The following is a 14,321-nucleotide window of genomic DNA, read 5'->3' as shown; positions in this document are numbered from 1 at the left end:
CCGAGATCATACCACTGCATTCCAGCCTGGGCAACAGAGCCAGACTCTGTCTCAAAAAAAAAGAGTAATCAAAAAGCTACATTATTTAAATCTTGGCATGTCTTTAAAAAATGTTAAACTGTCAGGAAAATTATCACTTCTGGATACCACCTTCAGAAAAACACATGAAAATTTGTGCATGTCTCAAATAGTTGTTAATTTATGAAAAATTAGAAAGAGTGTTTGAATGTATATTTCTGTCATATTATATTGCTCATATTTTTAAATTATACTTTTTTTCACCCGTGAAGCCCATATAGTTAAGTTTGAAAATTTTAATTATATTAGAATTTGAAAATTAAATAAATCTCCTTTAATTCATGCATAATTTTCTAATAGTCATATAGTTTGTATTATATAATTTGAGAAACTTGGTTCTAAAAAAATTGTCTGCCAAAGAATGTATATTTCTGAATTCTGTTCTGCTTTCATACATCTGAAAATATTTGAGCTATCATAACTGGCTATGCTTCAAACCCAGTCTGAAATGGGTGACCTTTGCTGGCTTTGGATTGCAGAGCTGGGGGCTGTTGTTTGCTTTATCTGATTTAAAATAGTCAGTAGTTTATTTTGCAGGCAGTTAGATGTATACCTTTGCATAAAATCATTGAACTGAAAAGGTTGGCACTCCAAGAATACGTTGTGAGAAAAGAGAACTTGAGTACTCACTCTCGACTCACCTGAATCTTATTAATATTTTATTGATTAATATCTGTTGTATTTTTAAGTAAATAAGCTCTCTAGAAACTATCTCTGCTTCTTTGTTCATTTAAAATATATTAAACAAATTGATACAGATTGCAAAAATTAGTTGCAACGTTCCTAGTTAGATATCAATGAAATAAAAATGGTCTATTCATACGAGTTCATTTTAGTTATTCCTACTAATATCAAATGTGTTTTAAAAAATGGGAGATTATAATCTTTTTATGAAGTAAGATAAATTATTACTTTGTATATTTAATTCAAAGAAAACAAAAAGGCCACAAGTGCCTGCATAAAGGCACATCCACTTAGGATTATTGTTAAGGCCTACAGTTGATAATTAGGATTCAGGCATAGCATAAATGAAGTGGTATCTTTTTTTTTTTTTTTTTTTTTGAGACGAAGTCTCGCTCTGTTGTCCAGGCTGGAGTGCAGTGGCACGGTCTCGGCTCACTGCAAGCTCTGCCTCCCTCCTGGGTTCACGCCATTCTCCTCCCTCAGCCTCCCGAGTAGCTGGGACTACAGGCTTCCGCCACCACTCCCAGCTACGTTTTTTTGTATTTTTGGTAGAGACAGGGTTTCACCATGTTAGCCAGGATGGTCTTGATCTCCTGACCTCATGATCCACCCGTCTCGGCCTCCCAAAGTGCTGGGATTACAGGCATGAGCCACCGCGCCCAGCCAGATATCAATTATTTTTAGACCCAATGATATTTGCTGTTGATTTATTGTTGGTGCACAAAATAAGAAAACAAAAGCATGGTTTTAAAACAGCCCTTTACACATTTAATATGGAAATGGTAACCTACAGGTCTGTATTCCATACAGATTCCTGGGCTCATTTTATCTGTGAATTCCTCTGGGCGTCATGCATGCCCAGGACTGACTTTAAAGCAGAATTATCCAGTAGAGGTATAATAGGACCGTTAGATCTAATTTAAAGTTTTCAAGTAGCCACATAAAAAAATAAGCAGGCGAAATTAATTTTAGTCTGTCACTAAATTCAAAATGTTATTTCAACAGGGGGTCAATATAAAAGCTATTTATGAAATACATTATTTTTTCATATTATGTCTTCAAAATGTTCACATTTCACATATTTATTTTTTATTTTATTATTACTATTTTTTTGAGACGGAGTCTCACTCAGTCGGTTGCCCAGGCTAGAGTGCAATCTAGCTTGCTCATTGCAATCTTGGCTCATTGCAACCTCCACCTCCTGGGTTCAAGCAGTTTTCCTGCCTCAGCCTCCTGAGTAGCTGGGATTACAGGCGTGTGCCATCACACCCAGCTAATTTTTTTATTTTTGGTAGGGATGAGATTTCACCATGTTGGCCAGGCTGGTCTTGAACTCCTGACCTCAAGTGACTTGCCGCTTTGGCCTCCCAAAGTGCCGGGATTACAGTTGTGAGCCACCGCACCTGATTACATATTTCACATATTTTAATTCAGACCAGCTGCATGTCAAGTACTTAGTAGCCACAGATGGCTAGTGGTTACTGTATTGGACAGTGCAGCTCTAGGAGAGTCTCTTCAACCTGCAGCTGTCTAGGAAGAGAATCATAGTTTCTGGAACAGGTAGAATCTATAAGACCTCCTTTTTAAGCTTCTCCACTTTACAGATGAAGAAAGTAATATCTGGAGATGTTGAGTTGTTCAAAATCACCCACATTTTAAGGATCAAGAGCCCAGTCCCTGTTCTCTAACTTCTAATCTCTTTCTTCATCACTTTTTCTGCTTCATGTTGCTGCATCCCCTTTAGTTACTAAGGTACTAACGTTAGGTTGTTGCTATCAGTTAAATATTAAGCCAGGAGCTTTAAGACAATCTGGCCCACTTGAAGGCATGGCCTGATTTGGACAAAACTTGTGGGGTAGGATGAATAGAGTTACCAGGCATATCTTCAACCTCTCTGTGGACTAGTATTATACATATATGAGATGATGTAGGGTCCAGTGATCAGTTCATCTTTTTCTATTGTGAGCACTGTTGGAATAGGAATGGGGGGACCTTTTGGGACCCAGGATATGTGATTCTGAACCCTGAAATGTCAGATGCCCACTAAAAGGAAGGGGAGAGATGGACCTGTCATTACCTTACACATTTTATTGTCTGTATGGGTATGTAAACATGTACAGATTATAAGGAATTGCACTTCATTTCTGGGCTTCTGGAAACACAGGTATTAAGATTTCATTTACCTCCCCTTGTTTTGGAAGGCTTATTGTGTGTGTGCCCATAGTTCTTACCCAGTTACACTTAAAGTATGATACTTTTTGACAGCTTAAGCCTATTGCATTCCTGGCATGTAAAATAGTTATTTTCAGAATGTAAGCAAATGTGGAAAGCTTACTGCCTGACATGGAGGGTTGGAGAAGTGGGATTGGTGTTCTTTTGTTGTAAACTCATTTTTGTGAAATATTTGCTTTACAACGTGAAGCATGCATGATGGATGAACTTTTAGAATTGAAAGTTATTTTTCATTTCATTCCTGAAATATTTACCAGCATGGATGTTGACTGAGTGCTTTGAAGAGTTTGCTTAGTCATATAACTTAGGTTTTATGATTTTAGATTTAATTAAACTTAAAGTTTTCCTGTTTGATCCTCAGGACTTCTCATCTGTGGCAAGGCTTTACTCACAAAGGAAATATCAACCTTGAAGTTAAGCATGCCCTGTGTTTCTTTATATTCTGATGAAAACGATTGAAGTTTGCCAGTGCTGTGTCTGGGACAATGCTTAGAGGATTCATGGCTTGTAGGAATGAGTTAAAAGTACAAGGATATTGGCTGGCATGGTGACTGTCGCCTGTAGTCCCAAAACTTTGAGAGTCTGAGGTCAGAGGATTGCTTGAGCTCAGGAGTTTGAGACAAGCCTGGGCAGCATAAGGAGATCCCATCTCTATGTTTTTTAAAAAAGTGAAAAACAACAACAACAACAAGGTACAGGGGTATCTGCGTTTCCTTAGGCAGCTGTCTTATATACCTTTAACCTTAAAAAAATCCACCATTTTTAAAACAGTGTTTTCTGTTGTTTTTCTTAGTAAATATAAACAATAGGAACTGAAGTTTAGGGCTTAAAATTTTTGAGAGAATAATTTTTATTTCAGTAGCTTTTGGGGTACAAGTGGTTTCTTGTTACTTAGTTGAATTACGTAGTGGTGAATTCTGAGATTTTAGTGCACTTAAGTAGGGTACCTTGTACCTAATGTCTAGTTTTTCTTTTAATCCCTAGTCCCCTATTACCCTCCTCCTCGTGAGTCTCTAAAGTCCAATATGTCCCTCTGTGTGCCTTTGCTTATTCCTAACTTAGTTCCCACTTATAAGAGAGAACATACGGTTTTTGGTTTTCCAATTCCTGAATTACTTTACTTAGAATAATGGCCTCCAGCTCTATCCAAGTTGTTGCAAAAGACATTATTTTGTTCCTTGTAATGGCTGAGTAGTAGTCCCTGATATATATATGCCACATCTTCTTTATCCTCTCATTAGTCAGTGGCCACTTAGGTTGGTTCTGCATCTTTGCATTTGTGAATTGTGGTCCTGTAAACATATGTGTACAAGTGTCTTTTTCATACAATGACTTCTTTTCCTCCGGGTAGATACCCAGTATTAAGATTGCTGGATCAAATGGTAGATCTACTTTTAACTCTTTAGGAAATCTCCATAATGTTTTCCATAGAGGTGGTACTAGTTTACATTCTGAGAGAATAATTTTTGTAAAATTATGTTTAAGCTAGATTTGGAATTGGGAAAGAATTACATTCTTTATAGGAAGCTTTTGAAAAATATATTTAAAAATATATAAAAATATGCATAATCCTACCACCCACAAATGTCTGTATTATTATGTCATTTCTAAACCATTTTTGAGATTATGCTATAGATTACGTTTTAGATCCTACATTTTATTTCTTAACATTAAATCTCATACTATTTTAAGTTCTTTGTACATGTAATGTTTACTGAATGGGTAAATCTGTTTAGGGAAACTGGAGCTATGTAGTTGTGGACTTGTGCTTTTGTTTTGTTTTGTTTTGTTTGTTTGTACATTTGCTTTTTAGAAATGTCTATTCAGATCCTTGGCCCATTTTTTTTTTTTTTTTTTTTTTTGAGATGGAGTCTTGCTCTGTCGCCCAGACTGGAGTGCAGTGGCGCGATCTCGGCTCACTGCAAGCTCCGCCTCCCGGGTTCACGCCATTCTCCCGCCTCAGCCTCCCGAGTAGCTGGGACTACGGGCGCCCGCCACCACGCCCGGCTAATTTTGTTTTTGTTTTGTATTTTTAGTAGAGATAGGGTTTCACCATGTTGGCCAGGATGGTCTTGATCTCCTGACCTCGTGATCCCCCCGCCTCGGCCTCCCAAAGTGCTGGGATTACAGGCGTGAGCCACCGTGCCCAGACAGACATGTGCTTTTTTATTTGGCATTTCTAGCCTGAACATAGGCTGGAAGTAGTGACTTAGAGAGGGATTGTTTGCCAAATATCAGGTAATATTTTAATTATTTATTATTTATTGTAATGCTGTGAATCAGGAGTCCCTAACCCCTGGGCCATGGACTGGTACCGGTCTGTGGCGTGTTAGGAGCTTTGCTGCACAGCAGTAGGTGAGCAATGGGTGAGTGAGTGTTGCTGCCTGAGCCCTGCCTCTTGTCACATCAGCAGGGCATTAGATGCTCATAGGAGCGCAAACCCTATTGTGAACCGCATGTAAGAAAGTGAGAGCTGCGTTGCACACTCCTTATTAGAATCTAATGCCTGATGATCTGAGGTGGAGCAGTTTCATCCCGAAACCAAACCACAAAATTGTCTTTCATCAAACCATTCCCTGGTGCCAGAAAGGCTGGGGACCACTGCTATAAATTGCTGCTGTCAAGTAGTGTTACGCATGGTGGTCTTTAACATAAAAAAAAAAGGTAATGAACGTACACCACACAGATTAGCAAAAATAAGGAAAGGCTGATCTAGTAGTTCAAACAAGCAATCCTCTTATTTAATGGTTCTGTGATTGCTCGTGTAGGCAGAAGCTTAACTGTAAGTTGTTGCATTTGACAGGCAAATGTAGCTGGAGCTGGAATGTAGATATTAGTGAAATTGTGATTTCAGTTTACTGGAGCCATTCAGTGGGAGCATGAAGTGGGTTACATGATTACACGGATATAAATAAAGCGTCCTCCTTGCCACTTCACTGCTGTTAAAGTCTCTCCTGATGTTATGTGGTGAAAAACAAGTCAAAAACATTAATTCTGTCAAGTTTCCAAAGATATAAGAATCTTTGACCAGAAAAGAGACGGTATTTATCTTCAAATTTAACAAATTGTGATGAAATGCTGCTGTTACAGAACCTAGTGTAAGGTCGTGGAGTCCATTCAGCCAGACACATGTAATTTTGATTATTAACTGCCGTTTCTGTGGTCAGTCGGCCAGTTTTATATATTTCACATTATAGGTATTTGGAGCAAAGACAGTGTTGTTTATTGTTTACTTTAAAAAAATACAATACTGTAACTACATAATGAGTAAATGTTGATACTGTTGAAAACTAATAAAAACAAATTCTTACACTATCAACATCACAGAAATTCTAATTGTAAGAAAATATTGATATAATATGGAAATCCGTTCATTTATTTGGTGCATTAATTGAACACCAACACTATGCCAAGCATTGGGATACAACCATGAAAGAGGCCAGCTTCCTGATCTCACAGAGCTTGTACTTTGTTGGGTGGGGCAGAGAGCAAATCAGTCAATCTGTCTGTCTGTCTGTCTATCTATCTGTCTATCTATCTGTCTATCTAGATGTCAATCAGTATACTCTGTGCCACTTGGTGGTCAGTGCTATGAAGAAAAATTAAGCCAGTGAGGAGCTGGATAGAGACACAGTCTGGAAGGGTATGAAGGGGATCAGAATATGCTACCCCCAAATATGCCATTTCAGCAAAGTACTAATTTGAGCTGAAGACAATCGAGAAATAGCAGACCCAGGACAAGCTTTACCCCCTTTTTATAAAAATTTTGCTGTGTGAAGGTATCCTCCTTCCCCTCTCCATCCCTGGAGAGACCACTAGAGGTGGCACCATCGCCTGCAGAAACAAACCTTATTGAAATAACCCTTATCTTCTATTAGTTTCCCCCATATATTTACCTTACCACACTTCCCCTGGAAGCCCTAATCCCCTCTCCTTTGTCTTGTGACTTCTCCACAGTTTATTGCTCTTTGTTAAAATGGTGTGTATGCTCTCAGGCCTAACTGCTTCTTTTGGGTTTTTGCTTTTCTGTGGAGCTCCCTCCTCTCCCCTCCCTCATGTAAAAATAATAACATTAAATAAAATTTGTGTTTTTTCCCCTGCGAATCTGTCTCGTCAGTTTAATTGGCAAGGCCTCATGTGCTGAACCTAACAGGGTAGAGAAAAAAGGTTTTTTTCCCCTTTTCTACAAGTATTAAACCTGGAGAGAACAATACAGTGTAAAGGCTGTGAGGTGGGAGCATGCTGGGGTGTTGGAAGAAGCACATGAGCTTACAAACATTCCATCAATTTGCATTCATTCCAAAAATTGTATGCAATTTTTCAGTGACGATTCCCATTGATCAATCATTTATAAAAACTAATGGTGAGGGTCTTCCATACTCAGTTTACTCCCTTCTTGGAAAAGAATGTACATTTTAATCAAGATGATTTCATGAAAGACATTCTGTACTCCAAACATTTAAAAGAGCGTTTAGAGTATACAGCAATTCATCTTTTCTTCTGTATTTTAAAATTTAAGACAGGGAGAATTATTGTATTATACTTAGTTCAGATTTGGTGGTGGTTTTGTTTTTTGGTTCCAGTGAAAAGAAATTGCATCAGTAACCTGGCGGTCAACCGTGCCATATTGTTTGTGATTTATTAGTCTGGAAAAAATAACTGTATTTCTGGCATATGTAAAAATAGTTTGCTGAGAGGCCTCCTTGGTTGTGGCAATAGTAATACTAATTACCAGGTACTGTATGTAGCTCATTCTATGAACCAGGCCTTGTTGAAAAGTGCTTTCACTTAATTTTTTCTTTTCAGCAGCCTGTGAGGTACCTACTGTTATCCCCAGCTGGGAGGGAGCTGGCCAGTGGACTGGGTTTAAACTATGTTTTCATTGTCTTTACTCTTAACCACTTATCTTCTCTGCCTCCAGCAAAATAAGTCAAAGAGTTCAGCCAGTGTTTCTTCTTGGACTAAGCAGTCAGCCTCCTAAGTAAGCAAGCCTTGGAATGCAATTGATTGGTAAGATACTAAAGTAATCAGTAAGGCCCTCAGTTCCTGGCTGCCAGCTTCTTTCACCCTCTCCTGCAGGAAGTTCTGAATGCTGATATCTCTACTTGGTGTCTTCTCTCCCCCTCCCAATTCCATTATTTCCCTTTTTCTCAATCCCAAGTGAAGGAAGTTCTGAGTGTGGATGTTGGAGTCATTCAGACCTTGGATCTGAGTCACAACTCTTTCAATTTACTAGAAATATGACTGCAAGAAAATGATGTAAGCTTCCCTAAACCAATTTCCACATCTACAAAGTATCTAAATAGATTGCTTAGGAGAAAAATTGAATTAAATTGAATAAAGTGCAAAGCACAGAACATGGCCAGGAGTAGGCCCTGGATGAATGAGGGAAAAATGGTTCTGATTTTTATTTTTGAGCCTCTTTGTAACATTTGTTGGCCCCTTCAGAATAATCCTTAGAGTTCATATCAGCCACCCTTCATCCCTCCTGGGATGGGCCAGGGGAGAGGCCCAGTTGCCTGTGACACTGCTTCGTTTCACATTTCACTGCTTTAGCATCTCAACATTTCATTGATAACATTTTTGATGCCTGAAAACAGAATAACTTATTTGTAATTCTACATACATTTTGTTTGTGATCAAGTTGTTAGAGTTTGAAATGAGCCTCATTTCCTTGGGTTTTGTCCCTCCCCATCTGACCTTCCTCTTCTCAGTGAACCCTGAAGAAAAAACACTAGCAAAGGAATCTCAAGAATGTTGGTTCGGGACACAGCTCTCTCCATCTACTCTCCTGCCCTAGTCCTGCCCCTCCTTGTGTTTTCAGCGGTGACCAGGCACTGGTGACAGCCTTGGCTGCTTGGACCAGCTGGAGGTAGCTGCAAAATGCCTGCCTGCTAGCTTTGAAAAATCTCTGCCAACCTCATTGAAATAATTGTTTACCACATATCAGAGGGGACTGGGAAGTGGGTAATTGAGAGATCTTTTTGAAGGGGTTTGTGGCTTCTCCACTTGCAGAGGCTTCCTGAAATGGTGGGTAATGCTCATGCCTCAGGGAGAATCAATATCCTTCTCCTAAAACCTGCTCACACGTAGCTCTAAGTATTAGACATGCATTTTTGTTAACATTTTATCAGTGCATTTTTCTACCTGTGTCATTTGGACCTTAGATTCGGGAGAAAATCACTGTGTATCTTTGGTGGTTTCAGGTGGCTCTTAAATTTCATTAATTCACAAAATCTGAATTGAATGGAATAGTCTGTTTTGGGAGGTTTTTTTGGGGGGGTTGGGGAGGGATTGGATTTTTCAGTCCTTCCAAGAGACTTCAGGTTTTTTTTTTGATGTTCTGATTAGCCCGGTGTGTGTAAGGCCCTATCAGGTGTTCGCCTGTGTGATCCTATCACACCCACATCCTGTAGCTGCATCCAAGTGCTTTGAGGCCGACTTAATGGGGATTAACTTAACAGTTGCTCTGTGGGAACAGATGCTCTTTGCCGCTTATTTCTAATAAATTGATTGAGCCATTTAAAAGATTTTTTTTTTCTTTTAAGTTACATCTTCTTAAGAAACTGTAGACAATAAAGCAAAACTAAAATACTTGGGTCTAAAATTAGTGTATTATATTTAAAACACTGGGCTTCAGACTGATTATATCATGCTCTTTTACTGACTTTCTAGTCAGATGCTTATTTATAAAAATAAAGCTTATATAAAGGGCAGCATTCAAATGTTACACCAGTCGGTTTTAGCAGTTTGACCTTCCACAGTAGCTAAATATTTTTTACACTGAGAGAAGAATTCTTTAACATTATATGCTATCAGCATGTCAAGTGAATTCTGAGCTTGCATGCAACAGATGAGACCCTAGGTGGAAACATAAAAACATACCAGTGTGAAAGAGAAAAGCAGGCTCTCTGTCTTTGGGAAGGAGTTCTGCAGGGAGGGGTGTTTATAAGTGTAGTAGATACTTAGGAAAATTAATACAATTATTATAAAAGTCATCTGGGAAAAACCATTAGGTAAGAATAGCCAATAAAAAACCAGAAGCAAAATGTAAAGATATAGAAATTAAAACTGCACATCCCATGCATAGATAGGTCAATGGGGCAAACTGGAAGTCTAGAAATAAAGTTGTGCATATATTGGAAATTAGTGCAAGATAAAAGTGTCTTTTTACATCAGAAAGGGGAAAGATGGATTATTTAGTTAATGGTGTTGGGTTATCTGACTGTACATAGAAGGAAGGTGGGTAATTATTTACCCAGTACCAATACTGGATTACCTAGTATTATGTACCCAGTACAGTTTGTCAGCAACAAAAGGCAAACTTTTTTATTCCATGAAGTGTTCTTACAAATCAGTAAGAAATACTAAATATGAACATCTTCAGAGAAAAATGAACATTTTTGAAAACTTATTATGAAAAGAATTAAACATACACAAGAGAGAATAGTGCGCTGAATGCTCAGCAATGATCAGCTCTCACCCAGTCTTGTTTTATCTGTATTCCCCTTTCTCAACCTGCTCAATTCTCTTTTCCCTCACTGGGTTATTTTGAAATAATTTCAATTCTATAATTTTATGTATAAATATTTCAGTGTGGATGTCTAACAGAATCTCTATTAGACGTGGACAAAAAAGGCAAAGAATTTTATAGTACACAGGAAAAAATACACAGCCAATAAACCTATGAAGATATGCTCAATCTCATAGTCGTCAGGGAAATGCAAAGTAAAACAGTGATATAACATTGTTTTTTAAAACCCTGATGGGCAAAGACTAAAAAGGCTTGCCAGATTGGCATTTTCATCTACTGTCAATTGATAACAGATATTTCTTTGCTTGGAGTACAGTGGCACAGTCTGGACTCACTGCAACCTCTGCCTCCCAGGTTCAAGTGATTCTCCTGCCTCAGCCTCCCGAGTACCTGGGATTACAGGTGTGAGCCACCACGCCTGGCTCATTTTTTGTATTTTTAGTAGAAGCAGGGTTTCACCATGTTGGCCAGGCTGGTCTCGAATTCCTGACCTCAAGTGATCTGCCCACTGCAGGCATGAGCCGCTGCATGCAGCTGGTACAGAAATTTTTTAGATCAGTCATTTAGAATTTTATGTACATATCCCTTGATCTAGGAATTCTAGAAACTAATTAGTTCATAGTATATTGTATAAATGCGCACAGATGAGGATATTATGAGAGCATTATTTGTATCAACTAAGCAAGCCTTTAAAAAACTCTTATACAGTAGAATATTATGCTGATACATTAAAAGTGGGCATAACCATACTGATGTATAGAAATATCTAAAATCATACCGATATAAGTGAAAACATTCAGAATGCAGGCATAATCACAGATTAAACAGTAATTTATATAAAAAACAGAAAATTTATATGTGTATTATGTCAGTAGCAGATTCAAGTGAATCTGACAAAATCTGACTCTGGGCAATGAGAACATTGGAATGGAGGAGAAGGTAGTACATATTTACTTTGTATATTATCACCTTTTGTACTATTTGAGTCTTTTTAACTGTACGCAGATACTTTAGAGCAGGGGTCCCCAACACCCAGCCATGGACAGGTACTGGTCCATGGCCTGCTAGGAACCGGGCCACACAGCAGGAGGTGAGTGGCAGGCAGGTGAGCCAGTGAGCATTACTGCCTGAGTGCTGCTTCCTGGCAGTAGATTCTCACAGGAGCACAAAACCTATTGTGAACTAAACATGGGAGGGATCCAGGTTGCCTGGTCCAGTCCTTGTGAGAATCTAACTAATGTCTGATGATCTGAGGTGGAAGAGTTTCATCCCAAAACCATCCCATCCCATCCAGTCTCATGCCATCCCACCCCCAACACCCCATGGATAAATGGTCTTCCACAAAACCAGTCCCTGGTGCCAAAAAGGTTAGAGATCACTGCCTTAGAGGCTGCTCCCTCTTGGCACATCTTGAATGTAGGACTCCTTGGTTCTGCCATTCCTGGTAGGTAGTCAGCCAGCTTTTGATAGTTCTCCCCAGAGACTTCATCCCACAGGCAAGCCATCCCATTCCACGTAAAACATCTCTAATGTTAGGAAGGCACGTATTTTGATGTGATATCTAGAATCCTCCCAGCTGTTCTTCAGAGGAACATTACTTTTATAAAGTTGAAAAGAACGTTTTATTGTATTATAAAACTAGGTCATTTCAGTGAATTTCATCTATTTTCATGGGTAACTGATTCTTATATCAAAACTTGCTTTTGAAAGTACTGGAAGCATAAATTATTACTTCAGGCCCATTTGCTTTACTTTGTTCAGCACATTGAACATCAAGGAGCAACTCCCTCGATCTAAAATTTCTAGCATTGGTGCTTGTAATATCATTTTTCAAGTTGACATTAATGCTATCTTTGGAATTCTCATGGTAAGTCAGAAGAAAGCAGTTTAGTGGAACTGTTCTTTCTCCCACTGAATTGTATACTGAGATCTGTTATATTTTCTGCATTTTAACCCAGAAAGTTGTTCAAGAGAATTGACCATGATAAGACATCTGTAGCTTATTTTGTATTTTTTTAATGGAAAATTGTAACTGACTTTTAAATTTAAGATTGAGTGTAGCCTTTCCCAAACCAATAGCTAATGTTTTTATAACTATTTAGTGTAGGAGATTATAATAAAATCCACATTGCTTAAGATATAAAATGTTTGTGCAGTAATAGGCTGTATAAAAACAGTAAATTGAGATTGTATCAGGAATAATGTATTATAAACCATATATGAAACCAGGTACTAACTTGGTATTCTGCATAGCTTTATCAGAAAGGCAGAGCAAATACTATCTCAAAATGAAGTATAAACAAAATGAGGTTCAGTGAGTGATGTGGTTTGGCTCCATCCCCACCTGGATCTCATCTTGAATTGTAGTCCCCATAATCCCCATGTGTAGTGGGAGGGACCAGGTGGAGATAACTGAATCATAGAGGCGGTTTCCCCCATCCTGTTCTGGTAATAGTGAGTTAGTTCTCACGAGAACTGATCACTTTATAAGGGACTTTTCCCCCCTTTTGCTTGGCACTTCTTCTTCCTGCCACCATGTGAAGAAGGACGTGTTTGCCTCCCCGTCTACCCTAATTGTAAGGTTCCTGAGGCCTCCCCAGCCATGCTGAACTGTGAGTCAGTTCAACCTGTTTCTTTTATAAATTACTGAGTCTTGGATATGTCTTCATTAGCAGCGTGAGATCAGATTAATACAGGGAGGCTACATAATTTGACCCAAGTAGCAATAAACAATAGGGGTGAGGTTGAAATCCAGGCCCCTGGTACTTATGGCCTTAAGCTAAGTGAAATAAGCCAGACACAGAAAAACAAATACTGCATGATTTCATTTATATGTGGAACCTAAAACACTCAAACTCATGGAAACAAGAGTAGAAGGGTGGTGTTACCAGGGTTTGGATGTGGGGGAAGTGAGGCGATGTTGGTCAAAGGGTGCAAACTTGCAGTTATGAGATTAATACCTAATGTACAGCCTAGTGACTAGTTAATAATAGTGAATTGTACACTTGAAAACGTCTGCGAGAGTAAATGTTAAATATTCTTACCACACAGAACAAAAAAAGTAACTCTGAGGTGATGGATATGTTAATTAGCTTGATTGTGATAATCATTTCACAGTGTATACATATATCAAAACATCACGTTGTATACATTGAATATACATAATTTTTGTCAATTATACTTCAGTAAAGCTAGGGAAGAATAAAAGAAGTGACCTAACCAGGACACCTATCTGTAGCTCTATGGTAAAGCCAAAAGGGATAATAACTTTTGATTATCAAAACTTCATCATCATTATTATTTTTTAAGACTGGGTCTTGCTATGTTACTTAGGCTGGTCTCAAACTCCTAGGCTAAGTGATCCTCCTGCCTTGGCCTCCCGACATATTAGGATTATAGGCATGAGCCATCACACCCAGCCAGTTTTGAAGGTATCTTTATTACATTTTTTTGTTTAAATATTTAATAGTAAGTGTTTAACTTGAAGCATTTTTTTCTGCCTTAAAATTGATTTTCCCACTCATTTTATGGATCAAAACTATTATCAGATTTTAATTCCCACTCCACCACATTGTTTATAAAAGTTGACAATTATGGAAAGTAAAGTAATACTGAATTTTTCTAATGCCTATCTTTGACATGGAATAAAGATTATAAAATTTCTTATAACTTGAATGAGTTTTTAAAAATTGGACATCTTTTTATAAAAATCTAGCATTGACCATTTCAACATAAGTTTTACTTATCTCTGAAATACAGGTAGTACCTATTTTTATTAATTTTCTTAAGTGAT

At 38.2% G+C, this 14,321-nt stretch overlaps 1 protein-coding gene and 1 long non-coding RNA gene across 11 annotated transcripts in view, besides 1 other annotated feature; both read left to right on the top strand.

Moving 5' to 3' along the window:
* Positions 1-14,321, top strand: part of APP (amyloid beta precursor protein) — a 290,579-nt gene that overhangs the window by 13,988 nt on the left and 262,270 nt on the right. The gene's annotated exons all lie outside the window — the stretch shown is intronic.
* LOC124900466 (uncharacterized) overlaps positions 2-14,321 on the top strand; it is a 34,434-nt gene continuing 20,114 nt past the window's right edge. Inside the window, exon 1 of the long non-coding RNA XR_007067829.1 lies at positions 2-8,004. This is a non-coding gene — a long non-coding RNA (uncharacterized LOC124900466). The remainder of the gene's footprint in view (positions 8,005-14,321) is intronic.
* Positions 7,636-8,205: an enhancer, noted in NCBI's record as "NANOG hESC enhancer chr21:27521254-27521823 (GRCh37/hg19 assembly coordinates)". NCBI's record gives its function as "activates a minimal SCP1, AML or CMV promoter by ChIP-STARR-seq in naive H9 embryonic stem cells {active_cell/tissue: H9 hESC(naive)}" and the evidence as "EXISTENCE:reporter gene assay evidence [ECO:0000049][PMID:30033119]".

Source organism: Homo sapiens, chromosome 21 (genome assembly GCF_000001405.40).
Source record: "Homo sapiens chromosome 21, GRCh38.p14 Primary Assembly".
NCBI lineage: Eukaryota > Metazoa > Chordata > Mammalia > Primates > Hominidae > Homo > Homo sapiens.
The sequence above is the reverse complement of the archived record's forward strand: the minus strand, read 5'-3'. Positions and strand labels throughout refer to the sequence as shown.